The following is a 20058-nucleotide window of genomic DNA, read 5'->3' as shown; positions in this document are numbered from 1 at the left end:
TAGTTTTTGTTCTAAGAGAGATTATAGTTTAGTGGAGGAGCTTATGATCTGATGGAAAATGAGAAAAAAGTGGTGAGCCCTCTCATATTTAAGCGTTTTCAATTAGAACTTCCTAGAGTGGTGGTTATTTACCTTCTTTTGGATTAAGGATATAAGGAGAGCTGTGGAGCTTGTCTATAAAAATATACACTCCCATTAGCTCTTTCCATGGCACCAAAGATAAAAGCCCTGCCCTAGGGACTGAGCTGGTATAAAGTAAATCACTGGTGCTGCCCCTGGCATCGAGGGCCAGGTTGGCCAAAAGGGCTTGGCATCCATCTCTAGGCTGTCCAGTTTGAAGAAACATGATTGCTTGTGAGAAGGTATCGATTACCATCCCACCTACTCTGCTGGGTGCTGGCAGTCACTTCACCCTGTGTAGGGCAGCTTAGTAGTGTGCCTCCTGAGCCACCACCACCACAGGGTGCCAACTGTTGTGGCCCACTTTTCCTGGCCCGGGAGCACGTCTTGGTTTGTTTGGGAATCTTCACTCTGTTTTTGTTGCTTTTGTGTCCACAGTTGTGCCTGATTCACATGTTCTTATAGCTCCTGCCTGATGTCCTCTGGGTTTTACCCTTCCAGATATGAGACCTACCTCTGGGACTTCTTGGCCGTCCATTGTAGAGTTTCTGTGGCTTTTTCTTTGCTGTGATGACAGACTTACCTCTTAGTGCCTGGAGTCTCCCCCTCAGCCTTAGAACAAGAAGGATGGAGACTAACACTTGGAGTGATTACTATATACCAGTCACTGTTATGGGTGCTTTATGTATTAGCTAATTTAATCCTCACAAAGTAGGTAATAATATTCCCATTTTATGGTTGGGTGAAGTGAGACGTAAGGAAGTTAGGTATTTTGCCCAGGACCACATAGCTGGTAAGAAGTAGAGCTAAGATTTGAATCCAGGCGGTCTGGTTTCATGCCTACACTCTTAACCACTATGTTCAACAAATAATTCCTTCAGCAGAATCTAGGCTTATCAGAATCTTGCTTACGGCTAAGCAGCCCAGGAGCTCCCTCTACTTCCCCATCATACCCCACAATTCCATAGTAGAATTTTATACTAGAAGTGTCTTTCCTTTATGTCAGGGATAATAAGGCCTTATGTAATAATTTATTCATTCCACCATTATTGAATGTTTACCATATACCAGAGCTATATATAAATTATTATTTCATTTAATCCTCACAACAGTTCTCTGAAGTAGCTATTATTATCTTCGTTTTTATTGATGTGGTAACTAAGGCTTTAAAAGGGTGGGTAATTTGCCCAAAGGCACAGAGTAAGACACAGCCAGGGTTCAAACCCTAGATTTTCTGCCTGGCATCACAGCGTGTGCTCTTTCCATTGGGAGAGTCGGCCTTACCATATCACAGTTTCTCTACTTTGACACTGTTGACATTTTGGGTAGGGTAATGCTTTATTGTGGTGGACTGTCCTGTGTATTACAGGAGATTTAACAGCACCCACTAAATGCCAGTGGCAACCCTCTTTCCACCCAGTTGTGATGACAATAAATGTTTCTACCATTGCCAAATGTCCCCTGGTGGGCGGGGGGTGGGGAGGGGCAGGGGTTACTGTAACAAGATGGAGACTGTGTTCATCTTGTTTTGTACAGAGCTCAGCCTGCAGCCTTCTCCTTTTTCCCTCACCGCTAATTCTGTAGCTTTTCCTCTAGAATCGTGTCCCAGCGTCATCCTCTGTGGACCATGCATATGGCTGAGGGGATATTTGCCTGTATTTCCCTACAGGGCTGTGGTGGAGGCTGTGCATCGACTTGACCTCATCCTTTGCAACAAAACTGCTTATCAAGAAGTATTCAAACCAGAAAACATTAGCCTGAGGAACAAGTAAGCTAGAGACTCTAAACCACAGATCCTTACTGTTTCCCTGCCTATCTCTACCAGAAACCTTCTCAGATATATAAACACGCACTCTGTTTTACCTCCTGACCTCATGGTACCTTAATGGTCTCTGAAATCTCTGGCCTTCCTAAGAGAGGAGATAGGATCCCTCACTCCATCTGCAGATTTTACATCTAATAGACTGGTGCCATAAAGTAGCACAGTCTCTACATCTAAAAAGTAGAGTAAAATAAAATAAAAAGAATGGCATTCGAGGCAGGGCACAGTGGCTCACGTTTGTAATCCCAGCACCTTGGGAGACCAAGGCAGGAGGAACACTTGAGCCCAGGAGTTTGAGACCAGACCTGGCAACATAACAAGACCCAGTCTCCACAAAAAAATTAAAAAATCAGTTGAGTATGGTGCTGCACACCTGTAATCCCGCACACCTGTAGTTAGGCTGAGGTGGGAGGATCATTTGAGCCCAGAGGTTCAAGTTTATGGTGCTATGATCCCGCCACTGCCACAGAGTGAGTGAGACCCTGTCTCAAAAAAAAAAAAAAACCCAAAAATATATTTGAGTCAAGGGAGTCGGCCATACTGCATAATGAAGGGAAAAATGGGATAAAAAAGCAGAGAAAAAGAGAGCGAAGTGTACAAAGGGAAAAAATGAGGAAAAACTTAGAATGTTTAGTGCTTCGTGCTTCTGTCTTTTGGGGCTCCCACTGCCTTCCTAGGCTGCTGTTGTGCTGGGTCATATTGACCCTGCATGTCTCTTGGGAAGCACCGAGATTTGTTGGTGGGGGTGTTGGCACATGACTCCTTGCCCTCAGTTCTTATGTCCCTGCTCCAAGGGATGGGCTGTCTCTCTCATGCTCCTCTACACCCTCCAGGCTGCGTGAGCTCTGCGTCAAGCTTATGTTCCTGCACCCAGTGGACTATGGGAGAAAGGCTGAGGAGCTGCTGTGGAGAAAGGTATACTATGAAGTTATCCAGCTTATCAAGACTAACAAAAAGGTAAGGGGAAGTCCTTGTCTAAAGAGGGAAAGCCAAGGAAGGAAGAGACAGCTAGGAAAGTGGGCGCAGAACATGGTTGGAGGTAGGGGAGCCAAGAAAACATGGCAGTAAGAGGCTGGGCACGGTGGCTCATGCGTGTAATCCCAGCACTTTGGGAGGCTGAGGCAGGCAGATCTCCTGAGGTTGGGAGTTCGAGACCAGCCTGACCAACATGGAGAAACCCCATCTCTACTAGAAATACAAAATTAGCTGGACGTGGTGGTGCATGCCTGTAATCCCAGCTACTCGGGAGGCTGAGGCAGGAGAATCACTTGAATCCAGGAGGCAGAGGTTGCGATGAGCTGAGATCGCGCCATTGTACTCCAGCCAGGGCAACAAGAATGAAACTCCATCTCAAAAAAAAAAAAAAAAAAGACAGCAGAAAGGAAGGAGGAAGAGAGTCAGATGTAATTAGGATTAGGGAAGGAGGAAGAGAGTCAGATGTAATTAGGATTAGAGAAGGAGGGGAGCCTGGTCCCAGATGGAAAGATCAGAGAGTTAGAGCTAAGAGTATGACAGTAACTTGTGAGTGAGAGTAGATGTAGATGAAGTTCCAGAGCCAAGTGAGATGAACAGGGTAAGGGAGGGTGAGTGCGACTCTGAGTTTATTGCTTAACCAGCCCCTTCCCTTTCGCAATCTGTAGCACATCCACAGCCGGAGCACTTTGGAATGTGCCTACAGGACGCACCTGGTTGCTGGTATTGGCTTCTACCAGCATCTCCTTCTCTATATCCAGTCCCACTACCAGCTGGAACTGCAGTGCTGCATCGACTGGACCCATGTCACTGACCCCCTCATAGGTCAGTGGAACCTGAAAGGTGGACTTGAGCAGGTTCTCATGCTTCTACCTCTGGCCTTATCCCTCAGGGTTCATGTAGCTTGCGACCCAGCCAGGCAGAGAGAGTTCTAGCAGAACTACATACAAATGGTTTATGAAGTTTGGATTTATCCAGACAATCATATGAGTTAGGGTAAAGATCTTAAGGAAAGAGAGAGGCCTGGGATTGTGGACTAAGGCAGAGGAGGGACAGAAAGACCTAGAGTAGGTCTGGCACTGGAAGGTGGTATTAATACATTTCTTTTCTTCTCCCAGTTGAATTTGGCCAGCACTGTTTCTTTTGACTTTAGAGATTATTTCCCAATGTTTGATGAAAGTTTTGAAATCTTTAGATATGTTGGGAAAATTGTGGACAGTCTTTCAACATAGTACAAGTTCCTTTTCCACCAGCTGAGGTACTGGCAGCTATAATTTTAATTCCTTTTCTAGTTGGTAAGTTTTCTCTTCAGTTCAGCCATCCTTTAGAGCTCCTTCACCCAGCTCTCTCTGCTCTCTCTGTCCCCTTCATCACCAAGACAGACATTCTGGGTCAGAGATGGAGGTTGTGTCCTTGTCACCACATGGAGGAATTCTGTGATCAGAAGCAGAGCACCTGTGTTTTATGCATTTAAAAACATCTAGACCGGGCACGGTGGCTCATGCCTGTAATCCCAGCACTTTGAGAGGCCGAGGCAGGTGGATCACCTGAGGTCAGGAGTTTGAGACCAGCCTAGCCAACATGGTGAAACTCCATCTCTATTAAAAATATAAAAATTAGCTGGGCATGGTGGCGTGCACCTATAATCCCAGCTACTCAGGAGGCTGAGGCAAGAGAATCGCCTGAACCCGGCAGGTGGAGGTTGCAGTGAGCCAAGATCACGCCACTGCACTCCAGCCTGGGTAACAGAGTGAGACTCTGTCTCAAAAAAAAAAAAAAAAAGCCAAACCTCTAGACCAGGCGTGGTGGCTCATGCCTGTAATCTCAGCACTTTGGGAGGCCAAGGCGGGAGGATTGCTTAAGGCCAGGAATTCAGGACCAGCCTGGGCAACATAGTGAGATCCTACATCATCTCTACAAAAAATAATTTAACTGGGCATGGTGGTGCGTGCATGTTGTCCTAGCTACATGGAAGGCTGAGGCAGGAGGATCGCTGAAGCCCAGGAGTTCGAGGCTGCAGTGAGCCATGATTTCATCGCTGGAACTCCAGCCGGGGCAATACAGCAAGACCTTCTCTCCAAAAAAAAAAAAAAACCACCACATTATCTAAAAGACAAGATTATTCTGGGACCATGTCCATAGGTTACCAGATAGCTAGAGGGGTCCACAGCTTTAAAAAAAAGATCACTTCAAAGGGTTAGTGCCCCAAACCACTTTAGTTTTTATGTTCACTGATGTTTTCTCCATTCAGCCAACTGAGAAGTGTCTATAAAACATTAGGACTGGCTTTTCCAAATGGAAGCAACCCATCTGAGTGAGGCAGTAAGGTGGAATGGATAAGAGGACAGTCTCTGGAGCCTTTTGTATCCTAACTCTGCTGCTTAGCAGCTGTGTGACTAATTTCCTCAACTGTAAAATGGGAGTAATAAGAGTAACCTCATAGGGTTGCTGTGAGAATTAAGTTAATACTGTAGAATGCTTAGACAAGTTTCTGGCACATGAGAAAACTGCCTTCCAAAGATCTCAAGCTCTCTGAAGTTACCAGGCAGTTTCTTGGGAAGGGAGAGGTGAGTGCTCAGGCATATTTGACTTTGGCCATCAGCAGCCTCAGGCAGGGCAAGCCCACTTTTCTCCTTCATGGGCAGACTCTCCAGTAGGCTGCCTTCTCTGTGGACCTCCACTAGGAGCATCTGCCTTAGCCTCATTCACATGTCTTTCTTTTTTTCTTTTTTAAATTTTGTTGTTGTCGTTGTTTTTGCTTTTTTTTTTTTTTTTTTTAATTGGCGTCATTCACATTTCATTCTTGGGCAAATTAGTTTCCCATATTTACCTCAAACCTTTCACCTTTATGTGTGTAACTTCTACCCAAGACATTCATGACCCTATTCATACTTGAAGCTCATCCCTTCCTCCTTTTTGGAAGCCTTCCTGTGATGACCTTCCCGCAAGGTGCCATCCTAGGTTGAGGGCCCTAGCCCTCCTTTTCCAGTTCCTTCCTGTCCTATGAATGAATCTGCCTATAAGTCTCTGAGTCCCTGCGTATGGCCACCTGTGATCCTCTGTGTCTCTCCCTGTGTCCTGGATGAGTGTGTCTCTGCCCTGAAAGACAATGTTCCAAGACTGGCCCTGGATTCTTAGTCTCTACATCTCGGAGGGGTATTTCTTCATAGGTGCGGGAAGGCAGAAGAATGGGCCTACAAATCTCTTTCTCTTTGTCTCATAGGATGCAAGAAGCCAGTGTCTGCCTCAGGGAAGGAGATGGATTGGGCACAGATGGCATGTCACCGATGTCTGGTGTATCTGGGGGATTTGTGTAAGAATTTGCACCTTTCATTTTCTCTGTTTTGGGTTACAGGACGAGCCCAGGCTGCTTCAGTTGTTGGTAACACCCATTACATGGTTGGAGAGCAGGAGGGATAGTTTGGCTTCTGATAACTTTTTCCCTCCCATCTGTTTCAGTGATCCCTTCTTTTCACTGCCCTTCCATGAGTCAGAGAGGATCAGTGAATACAGGAAAAAGGGAAATTTCTTTGAGCTTTGAGCAAATGAAGATAATAATTCTCTTTCAGTAGTGGGTTGGGAAGATTTTAATTTGATATTTTTCTTCTTTGAGTGTTTCTTTTATCTTTATGGACTGCTAGATGAATAGAAACTTCAGCACAGGGATTGAAATTAGACATCAAGGAGGACTTACCTTCCTAACAGATGTTTCTAAGGATGGAAAAGTACTCTTTTGCTTTATAGCCCCTGGGGCCTCTCGTCCTGATAGACAGTGGTTTCTCATTAGGCTGCTGGTGTGTGGCTGTTGGGTGCATTATGTCTTACTGACCTGGGTCTACTATCCTTGCCCCCAGCCCACTCCTGGACCCCTCATGAGCAGTGTGTGCAGAGAGTCAGCTGTTTGATATTTGATGAACCAGAGTATCATTAGTAGTGTCTTCTCTGTGAAATTGAGCATTTGCATTTCAGAACTAAATATCAGAGGTCTTTGCAAGCATTTATGTGTGCTGCAGCTCCCCTTCATTGGGAAGAGATTACCAAGAAGAGCCTATTCAGGCTGGGCGTGGTGGCACGCATCTGTAGTCCCAGCTACTTGGGAGGCTGAGGCAGGAGGATCATTTGAACCCAGGAGTTGGAGACCAGCCTGGGTGACAGCAAGACCCCGTCTCTAAAAAAAAAAAAAAAAAAAAAGAAAACAAAACAAAAAAAGAAGAGCTTATTTACTTCACAAACAATATTCTTTACATTTTGAACCTACCAGCAAGGAAGAGAGTTGAACAATTTGCCCATAGTCATGCAGATTTAGGACTGTGCCAGAGACCCCAGCAACCTGCTTCCTAGCTCAGGTACCTTCCTTCCAGGCTCTTGTTACCACTCTCAGAGTGGACTCCCAGATGTGGGGGAGGGTTTTCTGAAACTTAAAATCATCGAGTTTCCCTTCGTTTTCTCTCTTGTGCAGCCCGATATCAGAATGAATTAGCTGGCGTAGATACCGAGCTGCTAGCCGAGAGATTTTACTACCAAGCCCTGTCAGTAGCTCCTCAGATTGGTAAGTTGTCCCCAACTTGGGCCTCTGAATCCAGTAGGGTTTTCCTAGGGAAGACGATGTTGTTGAGATGGCAGGCAGTTCATACTCATTTTCCCCAGCTCCTCTTCATTCTCAGCTCTCTCGTACTTCACCTTGTTTATACCTTTTCCCTCTTGTAACACACTCAGAAAATGGTGGAAGGGGAAGATAAATGGGAAGGTCTTGAACTAAGGAGTGAGGCAGAGTAGAAGGAAAAGAGAAGATGGCTTTCCTCTCCCTGAGGTCTCTTGTAGAAAGAGAAGCACAATGAGATAAAGCATAAGACTATTATAGAGAGAGATGGGGATTTGCATGTAGGAACAAGCATTCAGTGCTGAGATAGAGGAGAGGGCTCCATGGAGTTCCATCAACCTTGGAGGAGCCATATTGGAAGCCAGAGGAATGGTACTCCATCAATTCAGGTAACGCCTGTCACACCAGGTGGGAACAAGCTGATGGATATAAGAAGAGGTCAGTAGGCCGGGCGCGGTGGCTCAACGTTTGTAATCCCAGCACTTTGGGAGGCTGAGGCGGGCAGATCACGACGTCAGGAGATTGAGACCACGGTGAAACCTCGTCTCTACTAAAAATACAAAAAATTAGCCGGGCATGGTGGTGGGTGCCTGTGGTAGTCCCAGCTACTGGGAGAGGCTGAGGCAGGAGAATGGCGTGAACCTGGGAGGCGGAGCTTGCAGTGAGCCGAGATCACACCACTGCACTCCAGCCTGGGCGACAGAGCGAGACTCCATCTCCAAAAAAAAAAAGAAGAGGTCAGTAATCCTCTAGAGGAAAAAGATTAAGCTGCTAATCACCTGAGACAACCAGTGTTGCCTGCAGACCCAGCTGTTCTCCCTACAGGTTCTCTGATGCTTAGCATTGGTTGGGCCTGGCAGCTTTGAATGAGTATTGTGGCCTTAGACTGCATGAATTCTCTTTCTCCCTAGGAATGCCCTTCAATCAGCTGGGCACCCTGGCAGGCAGCAAGTACTATAATGTGGAAGCCATGTATTGCTACCTGCGCTGGTGAGTATTTGCCAGCTCTTTTTCCAGCCCTGCTTTTGTGTGCATATTATTTTGGCTTTGTTTTCCGTCTTCCCTTCCTCCTTCCTCTAGCTGTGGCTGAGATAGGGGAATGCTAAGATTGAAGGGTCTCTCCATTCAGGGGGACTCTGACACAGCCCTGCTGCTTTTCACATAACCGCTGGATCTGTAGGCACTTGGGCAGCTAAAATAGCTATTTACTGTCTTATGCAAAATACAAGATTGCTGTTTTCTTGAAGAAGGAAATAAATTTGATACAGTTGGTAAAATGTTACTAAGGTGGCTTCTGGCAAGAGCATGAGAATTCTGGAGTGTGTTAATGTGGTAATATACGTGGAAGGACCAGCAGGGTGGGTCACTGCTTCCCTGGGTCTGACTCTTAGCTGTTAGAATAAAAAACAACATTTTTGGCAGGGCCTGGTAGCTCATACCTGTAATCCTAGCACTTTGGGAGGCCAAGGCAGGCAGATCACCTGAGGTTCGGAGTTCAGGACCAGCCTGGCCAACATGGTGAAACCCCATCTCTACTAAAAATACAAAAATCAGCTGGGTATGGTGGTGAGCGCCTCTAATCCTAGCTACTTGGGAGGCTTAGGCAGGAGAATCACTTGAACGCAGGAGAATCACTTGAACCCAGGAGGCAGAGGTTGCAGTGAGCCGAGATCATGCCACTGCACTCCAGCCTGGGCAACAGAGCAAGACTCCATCTCAAAAAAAAAAAAAAAAAAAAAAAAACCTCTTCAGGGCACCCAAAATTGATTAAGCTTAGGGTATTGAGTCGCCATACAAGTCGCTGTAACCAAGAGCACATGAGACTGATAGGTAAACCAGAATACTTTACCTGGAATGCTTTTAAGTTATACTGAGAAACTGCCAGAAAACAGAAAAATTGACCTTTGTCACCTAATCAGTGCTAAAGTTGAGAAGCCAAAATCATTCTCAGAAGAAGTTATATAATGAGCTTGGGCTTCAAGCAAAAGGAGTAGGGTGGTCTTCATAGCTTAAGTGGTCAACTACTAAAGTATATCCAAATAGTAAAGTAATCAGATAATAAAGTATAAAATAATGAAATACTAATTGTACGTCATAATTCCATGTGCCATGACTTTTGGTTCACCTGGCCAAGGTAACCTAGTCGCTGTATTAAATTTAGCTTGTTGAGGGTCCCTCTCATCTAGATCAGTTCAGGCTGGCCTTCTATACCTATACCGATATATTCATTCATTCTTAAGTATCGTTACTAGGTTTATAACCTGGTGTATCTTTCGCATTTCTTTTTTCTTTTTTTTTTTTTGAGATGGAGTTTCACTCTTGTTGCCCAGGCTGGAGTGCAATGGCATGATCTCGGCTCACTGCAACCTCCGCCTCCCGGGTTCAAGTGATTCTTCTGCCCCAGCCTCTCGAGTAGCTAGGATTACAGACATGCACCACAACGCCTGGCTAATTTTGTATTTTTAGTAGAGACCGGGTTTCTCCATGTTGCTCAGGCTGGTCTCAAACTCCCGACCTCAGGTGATCCGCCTGCCTTGGCCTCCCAAAGTGTTGGGATTACAGGCGTGAGCCACCGTGCCCGGCTGTATCTTTCCCATTTCTTAAATGCCTTCCTGAGAATGACCCCCCTTTACTTGTCCTGAGTCCCTCATCATACTCATAAGCATGATTTAGGGTGGGTCAGTTCCAAAAGAGAGCCAGGTATATCCAAGTTTGGGAGGTGCCCACTAAGGGCATACCTGACTCTGCTAAAACAATTCTCTCTCATGGTTTATGGGTTAGACATTTGGGCAGGGCTCAGTTGGGCAATCCGCCTTCTCCTAGTGGCATTGTTTAGGGTTAGTCATTGGTATTCAGCTGATCGGAAGGTCTAATATATCTGGAGGGTTGGGTCATTTGGCCCCTCTCCTCTGTGTGGTCTTAGGACCATGCGTGGTATCTTCCACAGGGTAGAAGAACTTCTTATGTAGTGGCTCAAGGCTCCAACAGTGAACAATGACTTAGGAGACTTGGAAGCTGTTACTTCTATAATATTCTATTGGTCATAGCCCTTCCTCCCGCAGCCCCCTGCAAGATTTAAGGGGAGGAGATATAGACCACATTTCTCAGTGGAAGGAGTGTCAGATAATTTGTGGCTATCTTTAATTCACCACAGACATTGGTTTCTTCTATTTTATACCTCACTTTTTATAATTAAAAACATGTTTTTAAGAAACGACACAAAATGTCATGAGTGTTAAGGTCATTGGGTTTTTGTTTGTTTGTTTGTTTGAGACAGAGTCTTGCTCTGTCGCCTAGGCTGGTGTGCAATGGCGCGATCTCGGCTCACTGCAACCTCCACCTCCTGGGTTCAGGCGATTCTCCTGCCTCAGCCTCCTGAGTAGTTGGGATTAAAGGCGCATGCCACCATGCCTGGCTAATTTTTTTTCTTTTTTTGAGATGGAGTCTCGCACTGTCGCACAGGCTGGAGTGCAGTGGCGCGATCTCAGCTCGCTGCAAGCTCCGCCTCCTGGATTCACGCCATTCTTCTGCCTCAGCCTCCCAAGTAGCTGGGACAACAGGCGCCTGCCAACACGCCCGGCTAATTTTTTGTATTTTTAGTAGAGACGGGGTCTCACTGTGTTAGCCAGGATGGTCTCGATCTCCTGACCTCGTGATCCACCTGCCTTGGCCTCCCAAAGTGCTGGGATTACAGGTGTGAGCCACTGCACCCAGCCTGGCTAATTTTTTGTATTTTTAGTAGAGACAGGGTTTCACCATGTTGGCCAGGCTCATCTCGAACTCCTGACCTCTTGATACGCCCGCCTCAGCCTCCCAAAGTGCTGGGTTTACAGATCCCAGTACAGATGAGCCACTGCACCTGGCTGTGTGTGTTTGTTTGTTTTTAGTAAGACAGGGTTGAGGGCTGGGCATAGTGTCTCACACTTGTAATCCCAGGACTTTGGGAGGTTGAGGGTCACTTGAGTCCAGGAGTTTAAGGCCAGCCTGGTCAACATAGTGAGACCCCATCTCTACAAAAGAAAAGTTAAAAAATGAGCTGGGGCTGGGCGCAGTGGCTCGTGCCTATAATCCCAGCACTTTGGGAGGCTGAGGCAGGTGAATCACCTGAGGTCAGGAGTTTGAGACCAGTCTGGCCAACATGGTGAAACCCCGTCTCTACTAAAAATACAAAAATGAGCTGGCGTGGTGGCAGGCACCTGTAATCCCAGCTACTTGGGAGACTCAGGCACGAGAATCGCTTGAACCCGGGAGGCGGATGTTGCAGTGAGCTGAGATTGTGCCACAGCACTCCAGCCAGGGTGATAGAGTGAGACTCAGTTTCAAAAAAAAAAAAAAAGAGTTGGATTGGGGACTTTTCTCTACCATGTGTTAGCTGTGTGACCTTGGTCAGTGTGCTTGTTCTCTCACAGGCTATGTGTCCTCATCTGTGAATGTGGACAATATTAGGGTACATTGCCTGACACAGTGGGTGCTCAGTACATGTTTGTGTTTGCATGTTGGGAGGATTAACTGAAATAGTGCATGTAAATATTCTTGCACATAGTAAATGCTTGTTAAATGCTATCCATTATAAAGTATTCTATGTTTAAAAATAGATGAAGGATAGTGTATTTCAGGGATGGTAATAACTAAGTTTGTAGCAGGGTAGGATTGATATTCTCCTTTCTAGATACAAAGCAGAGTAAGACATCGTTTTTCCTCTGACTAATCTAGAAGTTATGTGTGTGTGTGTTATCGGGAAAGATAGCTCATGAGCCTTTTACCCTGCGTATGTACATGGAAGCTGAGGCTGGGAGCAGCCTGTATTTACTAGTAACATTGTTTCCTAAAGCCCCAGCAGAGTAACATATCCTCCCCCTGCCAAGACTCAGTAGCTCACCTCTATCTCTTACAGCATCCAGTCAGAAGTGTCCTTTGAGGGAGCCTATGGGAACCTCAAGCGGCTGTATGACAAGGCAGCCAAAATGTACCACCAACTGAAGAAGTGTGAGACTCGGAAACTGTCTCCTGGCAAAAAGCGGTGAGTGGGGCCTGTGAGGAGGACGGGTTTTTTCTGCAGTTGGTGCAGTAGGACCATAGGGACTGCGGGACCATTCAGCATTTACTTTGGGCTCTTCTCATTTCAGATGTAAAGACATTAAAAGGTTGCTAGTGAACTTTATGTATCTGCAAAGCCTCCTACAGCCCAAAAGCAGGTGAGTGGAAGAGAGCATGAACCTGAACTATCCTGTGAGCCCCAGCCATGATGCTTTACAGAAGGAACCTTGACAAGGGTGGACTGTCGAGTTCTGCCCTCAGTTTGAACATCCGTAACCAATTCATCCTTTCTTGGCATTCCTCACTGTTTCTCCCAAGGGTCCTATGCCCATCCTCCTCCCAGCAGCTCTCCCTATGGCACAGAATGGGTGCTTAGGAGATGTTGAAGAGGGAATGGCTGAATGGGAAGCCTACTCACATCCCTTCCCCTGTTTTAGTTGCTATGGAGATCAATCCAGCACTACCCTTCCCTGGTGTGCTCTCAGGTCTCCCCTGCAGCATCCCATAGTCCTTTCTCTGAATCTTGTATTCCCTGCTCTTCTCCTTCCCCAGCCCCCACCACTGACCTCCCCTGTTACTCCTGCCCCTCTGTAGCTCCGTGGACTCAGAGCTGACCTCACTTTGCCAGTCAGTCCTGGAGGACTTCAACCTCTGCCTCTTCTACCTGCCCTCCTCACCCAACCTCAGCCTGGCCAGTGAGGATGAGGAGGAGTATGAGAGTGGATATGCTTTCCTCCCGGACCTTCTCATCTTTCAAATGGTCATCATCTGCCTTATGTGTGTGCACAGCTTGGAGAGAGCAGGTAACCTTCCCTATGTTCCTCTTTTCTCTTCCACTGGCTTTGGGGATCCTCACTCCCCTTTTCTGCAGCTCCTTATTCATAAACTTCCTTCCACAAGCAGCCTCTTCACTCCTGTGTCACTGCTTGGCTGTGGGCAAGTAAGGGCCAAGGGATCCTACCCTAAAGGAGGTCCTGGTAATTGAGTACAAGCAACAGCACATTTCCTTCCCCCTTCTCCTTACTGCCTCCCATAAATATGCACACCCTTGGCCAGGGCCTGTGCAGACACAAGGGTCAGGGTACTTAGTGATCATCCAGACAGAATTTCAGACCTTCTGTTGGAGGCATTTAGGCAATTCTGGAAGCCTTTCTGGCAGAAGTGTATGTAGAGCAAGATTGGGAGGTAAGGAGGGATAGGACTGGATGTGAAGGCTCTTGAGGCATGGGGAGGAACCTCAGAGCCAGGGAGGATGAGATGGGACAAAAGGATATGCTTATCTGAAGGAGTACAAGGTGAGATGGTAAATTCTAGATTATGGAAGGGATAATAGGACACGTACAGTGCCTCACGCCTGTAATCCCAGCACTTTGGGAGGCCGAGGCGGGCAGATTGAGCCCAGGAGTTCAAGACCCAGCCTGGGCAACATAGTGAGACTCTTGTCTCTAAAAAGTTAAAAAAAAAAAAAAAAGAATCTTTGATAAGTAGTTGGATCCTTGGAAGAGTTGAGAACAGATGAGATGTGGTTGGAATTGATGGTGCCTACTCCTCATCAGGGCCCTAGGCCCCTAATGCCTGGCTTTCCTGACTTCAGGATCCAAGCAGTACAGTGCAGCCATTGCCTTCACCCTGGCCCTCTTTTCCCACCTCGTCAATCATGTCAACATACGGCTGCAGGCTGAGCTGGAAGAGGGCGAGAATCCCGTCCCGGCATTCCAGAGTGATGGCACAGGTGGGAGAATCGGGGAGGTCATCACTATGGAAAGGTTGGTGTGGGGCATGGGGATGAAGGAAAGGAACACAGACTCGGGGGAAGTGGTGTTGGAGAGCACATTCCAGCTTCCAGGCTCCACCTGTTCCTCGGGCTCCACCTGACCTTCCTCTTTCCGCAGATGAACCAGAGTCCAAGGAACCTGTGGAGAAAGAGGAGGAGCCAGATCCTGAGCCTCCTCCTGTAACACCCCAAGTGGGTGAGGGCAGAAAGAGCCGTAAGTTCTCTCGCCTCTCCTGTCTCCGCCGTCGCCGCCACCCACCCAAAGTTGGTGATGACAGTGACCTGAGTGAAGGCTTTGAATCGGACTCAAGCCATGACTCAGCCCGGGCCAGTGAGGGCTCAGACAGTGGCTCTGACAAGAGTCTTGAAGGTGGGGGAACGGCCTTTGATGCTGAAACAGACTCGGAAATGAATAGCCAGGAGTCCCGATCAGACTTGGAAGATATGGAGGAAGAGGAGGGGACACGGTCACCAACCCTGGAGCCCCCTCGGGGCAGATCAGAGGCTCCCGATTCCCTCAATGGCCCACTGGGCCCCAGTGAGGCTAGCATTGCCAGCAATCTACAAGCCATGTCCACCCAGATGTTCCAGACTAAGCGCTGCTTCCGACTGGCCCCCACCTTTAGCAACCTGCTCCTCCAGCCCACCACCAACCCTCATACCTCGGCCAGCCACAGGCCTTGCGTCAATGGGGATGTAGACAAGCCTTCAGAGCCAGGTATTTGGACCACTTCATCATCCTGTTCTGGTCCGCACCTCCATGCCATAGACACTCACCAGAGAGGCCGCTTTCCTATCTGTGTGAATGACCTCTCGTCTCTACCCTTACCTTTGGCCCTCTGCCTGTGGTGTAGCCCATGAGTTTTTTCCTGAGGGTCCACCCTCCTGCTCACTTCCTTATTCCCATCTCCCAACCCATTTGTTGGTTTTATTTCTTTTGCACTTCACCCTGTCCTGTGGGTTTGGGGCTTTCCTCCCTACACAACAATTGCAGCTGCAGCTTCCTTCCCTGTGCCATCCCAAGTCCCTCCAGGGCTTCTGGAAGCTAGAAAAACTGGTACCCACCAGCGCAGGTGCATTAGAGTGAGACTTCTCTCCTGAGGATATTCCCTGCAAACAGAGTACCCATTTAGTAGCAGCAACCGTTTGTTAAGGCTACTCTATGCATCATTCTAGGGTGTTGTCTTATTTAACCTTCATAGCAGTCTTGTGGTAGAAGAGTTGTCATCCCTACTCTAGGCTGTCTTTTACTTCCAAAGTTTTTTTTTTTTTTTTAAAGACAGGGTCTTACCTATCCCCCAGACTGGAGTGCAGTGGCGCCATCTTGGCTCACTGCAACCAACTGCTTCCCAGGCTCAAACGATTCTCTTACCTCAGCCTTCTGAGTAGCTGGGATGACAGGCATGCACTACCATGCCCGGCTTTTGTGTGTGTGTGTGTGTGTGTGTGTGTGTGTGTGTGTATTTTTTTTTTGAGACAGAGTCTCACTCTGTTGCCCAGGCTGGAGGGCAGTGGCACGATCTCGGCTCACTGCAGCTTCTGCCTCCCAGGTTGAAGTGATTCTTCTGCCTCAGCCTCCCAAGTAGCTGGGACTAGAGGCACGCACCACCATGCCCGGCTAATTTTTGTATTTTTAGTAGAGACGGGGTTTCGCCATGTTGGCCAGGCTGGTCTCAAACTCCTGACCTTAGGTGATCTTCCTACCTTGGCCTCCCAAAGTGCTGGGATTACAGGTGTGAGCCGCCACACCTAGCCCCTCCAAACTTTTATACATAGTGTTTTGTCTGTCTGGCAAGTGCTTTTCCTCCCTTGCTCCCAGCCTGTCACTTAGCTAATTCTTACTTGCCCCCACTAGATTTTAGCTTAAAAGTCACTTGGTCTGGGACTCCTTCAAGGGTATGTTAGATTTGCTTCTTGTGGCCTCCTGCACCTCTGCAGCCTCCAGTCCTTTTCCACTCTATTGAGGTTGACTGTTGATTTGTCTGTCTCCCCAGTTAGAGTCTGAACTGCTTGAGGGCAGGACAGAATATTTCTTACTTATTGCTGTATCCCTAGTACCTAACACAGTGTCTGGCACATGGATGGGACTTAAGAACTATCGAATGACTGAGTGAATGGCAGAAATGAGGGATGCTCAGAGATGTGAAGGGACCTGTCCAGTGTTCTCACTTGCAAAGTAGAAGAGGTAGGAATTAAAAGTAACTCTTTTTTTTTTTTTTTTTTTTTTTTTTGAGACGGAGTCTCGCTCTGTTGCCCAGGCTGGAGTGCAGTGGTGCAATCTCGGCTCACTGCAACCTCCACCTCCCGGGTTCAAGCAATTCTCCTGCCTCAGCCTCCCGAGTAGCTGAGATTACAGGCATGCACCACCACACCCAGCTAATTTTTGTATTTTTAGTAGAGACAGGGTTTCACCATGTTGGCCAGGCTGGTCTTGAACTCCTAACCTTGTGATCCGCCCACCTCAGCCTCCCAAAGTGCAGGGATTACAGGCGTGAGCCACCACGCCCGGCCTGAAAGTAACTCTTTTAAAACCATACCCCTTGCTTTTCTCCCTCCCTTATAGCTCCCCTCTAACTGTCTGCCCTGCCTTCCAGCACAGAGTAGGCATTTCATAAATCCTAGTTGAATGAATAGCTGTAGATCAACGTCACAAATTACTTGAGTCTATAAGAATCATATTTAAAAGGCACCATATTTTAAAAACAACCTTGGTAAAATGAATTTGATGAGATTAAAAAACAACAACAGTTAGTGGGCCTGGAAAAATTGAATAAGGGCCTGTAAGTGGTTCCCCAGATTTTTCATATCCAAATTCCTTGGAAGGGCCCAGGCCAGGTGGAAGCATGCTCCCTGCACAGAGCTGAGGCCTGTTCCCAAGTGTCAGTTGTTTATCCCAGTTTTTTTCTCTTCCATTCACCCACCCCCCAGCCTCTGAGGAGGGCTCTGAGTCGGAGGGGAGTGAGTCCAGTGGACGCTCCTGTCGGAATGAGCGCAGCATCCAGGAGAAGCTTCAGGTCCTGATGGCCGAAGGTCTGCTTCCTGCTGTGAAAGTCTTCCTGGACTGGCTTCGGACCAACCCCGACCTCATCATCGTGTGTGCGCAGGTGTGTCAGTCCACTCCATTGCCCCTGTCAGGTCCCAGGGTCTTGGAGGAGGGGATGAGCCAGGATGGGGCCTGAGGATCCCCCCTGATGGCCAAGGCAAGAATTATTGCCAAGCAATTAATCACCTATCTGTGCTGGGCCCTTATGCTCTGACAGGGAAGGATTAGGCATGATCTTGGCCCTCACAAAGCCTGTGGCCAGGGAACAATTAGCGAGCTGCTTATTTTGCTTTGTATCCCCAATGCTGGGCATAATGCCTGCCATTATGAGTAATGCCGGTAGAAGTATGTGTTCAAGGACCAAAGTTGATAAATACCAAAGAATCCAGAGAAGGGAGAGAACATTGAGTAGAGGATAGTGACAGAAGAGATGGGAACTTCTGACAAGAGTTGTGAAGATGTACTAGGCAGGGGGAACAGCTTAAGGAGAGTCACACAGGACCGAGCTCTTGTCAAGCCGGCTGCCATGGAGGCTGGGTGGGGCCATGGTAGCTTTCCCTTCCTTCTCAGGTTCAGAGTGTCAGCCTTGAACTTCTAATTCCCAGAGGCATTTATTCAATGTTTTCTTCTAGGGGCATACCTGCCCTGCTGTGGAAGACTTTCTTCCCTGTGGGTCGCCCCAGTCCCCAGATGAGACGGTTTGGGTCAGGGCCAGGTGCACCGTTGGGTGTGTGCTTATGTCTGATGACAGTTAGTTACTCAGTCATTAGTCATTGAGGGAGGTGTGGTAAAGATGGAGATGCTGGGTCACATCCCTAGAGAGGTGTTCCAGTATGGGCACATGGGAGGGCTGGAAGGATAGGTTACTGCTAGACGTAGAGAAGCCACATCCTTTAACACCCTGGCTTTTCCCACTGCCAAGATCCAGAAAGTCCTTGTGGTTTCGCTGCTTTCTCCTTTTTTTTTTTTTTTTTTTTTCTGAGATGGAGTCTGGCTCTGTCGCCCAGGCTGGAGTGCAGTGGCACGATTTCGGCTCACTGCAAGTTCCGCCTCCTAGGTTCATACCATTCTCCCACCTCAGCCTCCCGAGTAGCTGGGACTACAGGCGCCACCACACCCAGCTAATTTTTTGTATTTTTAGTAGAGACGGCGTTTCACCATGTTAGCCAGGATGGTCTTGATCCGCCTGCCTCAGCCTCCCAAAGTGCTGGGATTACAGGCGTGAGCCACCGCGCCCGGCCTGCTTTCTTCTTTCATGAAGCATTCAGCTGGTGAAAAAGCTCAGCCAGGCTGGTCTGGAACTCTTGACCTCAAGTGATCTGCCTGCCTCAGCCTCCCAAAGTGCTGAGATTACAGGCATGAGCCAGTCCGAATGTGGCTTTTTTTGTTTTGTTTTGAAACAAGGTCTCACTGTTGCCCAGGCTGCAGTGCAGTGGCATACCTCAGCTCCACTGCAGCCTCGACCTCCTGGGCTCAAGCAATCCTCCCAACTGAGCCTCCCCAGTAGCTGGGGCTACAAGCGCATGCCACCACGCCTGGCTATTTTTTTTTTTTTTTTTTTTTTTGAGAAGGAGTTTCATTCTTGTTGCCCAGGCTGGAGTGCAATGGCACAGTCTCAGCTCACTGCAGCCTCCGCCTCCTGGGTTCAAGCGATTCTCCTGCCTCAGCCTCCCGAGTAGCTGGGATTATAGGCACCTGCCACCATGCCTGGCTAATTTTTTTGTATTTTTAGTAGGGATGGGGTTTCACCATGTTGGCCAAGCTGGTCTCCAACTCCTGACCTCAGGTGATCCGCCTACCTTGGCCTTCCAAAGTGCTGGGATTATAGGCATGAACCACCGTGCCCAGCCAGCCCAGCTAATTTTTGTGTTTTTTGTAGAGACAAGGTTTTGCCTTGTTGTCCAGGCTTCTTTTGTTAATTTTAAAATCAAACCCCCACAGGCCTCTGAACATAGGCCAGATCCCTCAGGGTGGTGCTTTCCTTGCTCACTGCTGTTCTCCACCACTGTCTCTAGCTGAAGGCCTCCTCTCCCTTCTCTCTCCCCAGAGCTCTCAAAGTCTGTGGAACCGCCTGTCTGTGTTGCTGAATCTGTTGCCTGCTGCTGGTGAACTCCAGGAGTCTGGTGAGTGGGTCCCTGGCACTACCCTCCTTTCTTTGCTCTCTCATTGTCCCCACTAAGCCCATCTCCCCTCCCCATAACCCAGCCCTTGGGGTAAGGAGGTTAATGGGATTCACTGCCAGCCTCCCTAGCACACAGCAGTCATTGTGTGGTCTAGGCCTCTCCGGTTTCCCACCACAACACTGCTGTATTGTGGGCAGGTGGCCTGGTCAGCAAGGGAGTGTGCTCCCTAGGGAATGCAAGGGCAGAGTGAGAGGGCCCTGGGAGCCAGACCTAGCTGCTGCTGTTGCACTGATGCCTGTGGTCATTGAGAATTGACTTTGACCTACCAAGTTTGTTTGTCTGGCTCATCTCCTACCACCTTCCAGCTGGAAAACTCCACCTGCTCCTACCTGCTAAGACTTGCCAAGGGCTATTCATTCATCCTGAGCGCCTCCTCTCATTTCCATCCCAATGTAATTGTCCCTGCTGTCAGGAAGCCTTCCTGACCTGAGCCATCCTTGTTCTTCCTGAGCCCCTCTGCTCTGCCTGACTGGCTCTTATGTGTCCATCTCTCTTTACTTCACTCCC

At 48.0% G+C, this 20058-nt stretch overlaps 1 protein-coding gene across 5 annotated transcripts in view; it reads left to right on the top strand.

The window, feature by feature from the left end:
* SMG5 (SMG5 nonsense mediated mRNA decay factor) overlaps positions 1–20058 on the top strand; it is a 42293-nt gene that overhangs the window by 10693 nt on the left and 11542 nt on the right. For 4 of the 5 annotated variants that reach the window (NM_001323617.2, NM_001323614.2, NM_015327.3 and 1 more), the window contains 13 exons: positions 1790–1888; positions 2776–2899; positions 3583–3739; positions 6138–6227; positions 7374–7463; positions 8426–8504; positions 12409–12534; positions 12641–12709; positions 13146–13354; positions 14146–14283; positions 14444–15043; positions 17254–17429; positions 19416–19491. In NM_001323617.2, coding sequence (NP_001310546.1) covers positions 2801–2899; positions 3583–3739; positions 6138–6227; positions 7374–7463; positions 8426–8504; positions 12409–12534; positions 12641–12709; positions 13146–13354; positions 14146–14283; positions 14444–15043; positions 17254–17429; positions 19416–19491 — 1909 coding nt within the window. In that variant the 5' untranslated portion in view covers positions 1790–1888; positions 2776–2800. The remainder of the gene's footprint in view (positions 1–1789; positions 1889–2775; positions 2900–3582; positions 3740–6137; positions 6228–7373; positions 7464–8425; positions 8505–12408; positions 12535–12640; positions 12710–13145; positions 13355–14145; positions 14284–14443; positions 15044–17253; positions 17430–19415; positions 19492–20058) is intronic. The other variant, NM_001323615.2, reaches the window with a different exon arrangement.

The sequence above is a fragment of the Homo sapiens genome, chromosome 1 (genome assembly GCF_000001405.40).
Source record: "Homo sapiens chromosome 1, GRCh38.p14 Primary Assembly".
Taxonomy (NCBI): domain Eukaryota; kingdom Metazoa; phylum Chordata; class Mammalia; order Primates; family Hominidae; genus Homo; species Homo sapiens.
This window is presented reverse-complemented; position numbering and strand designations above follow the sequence as displayed.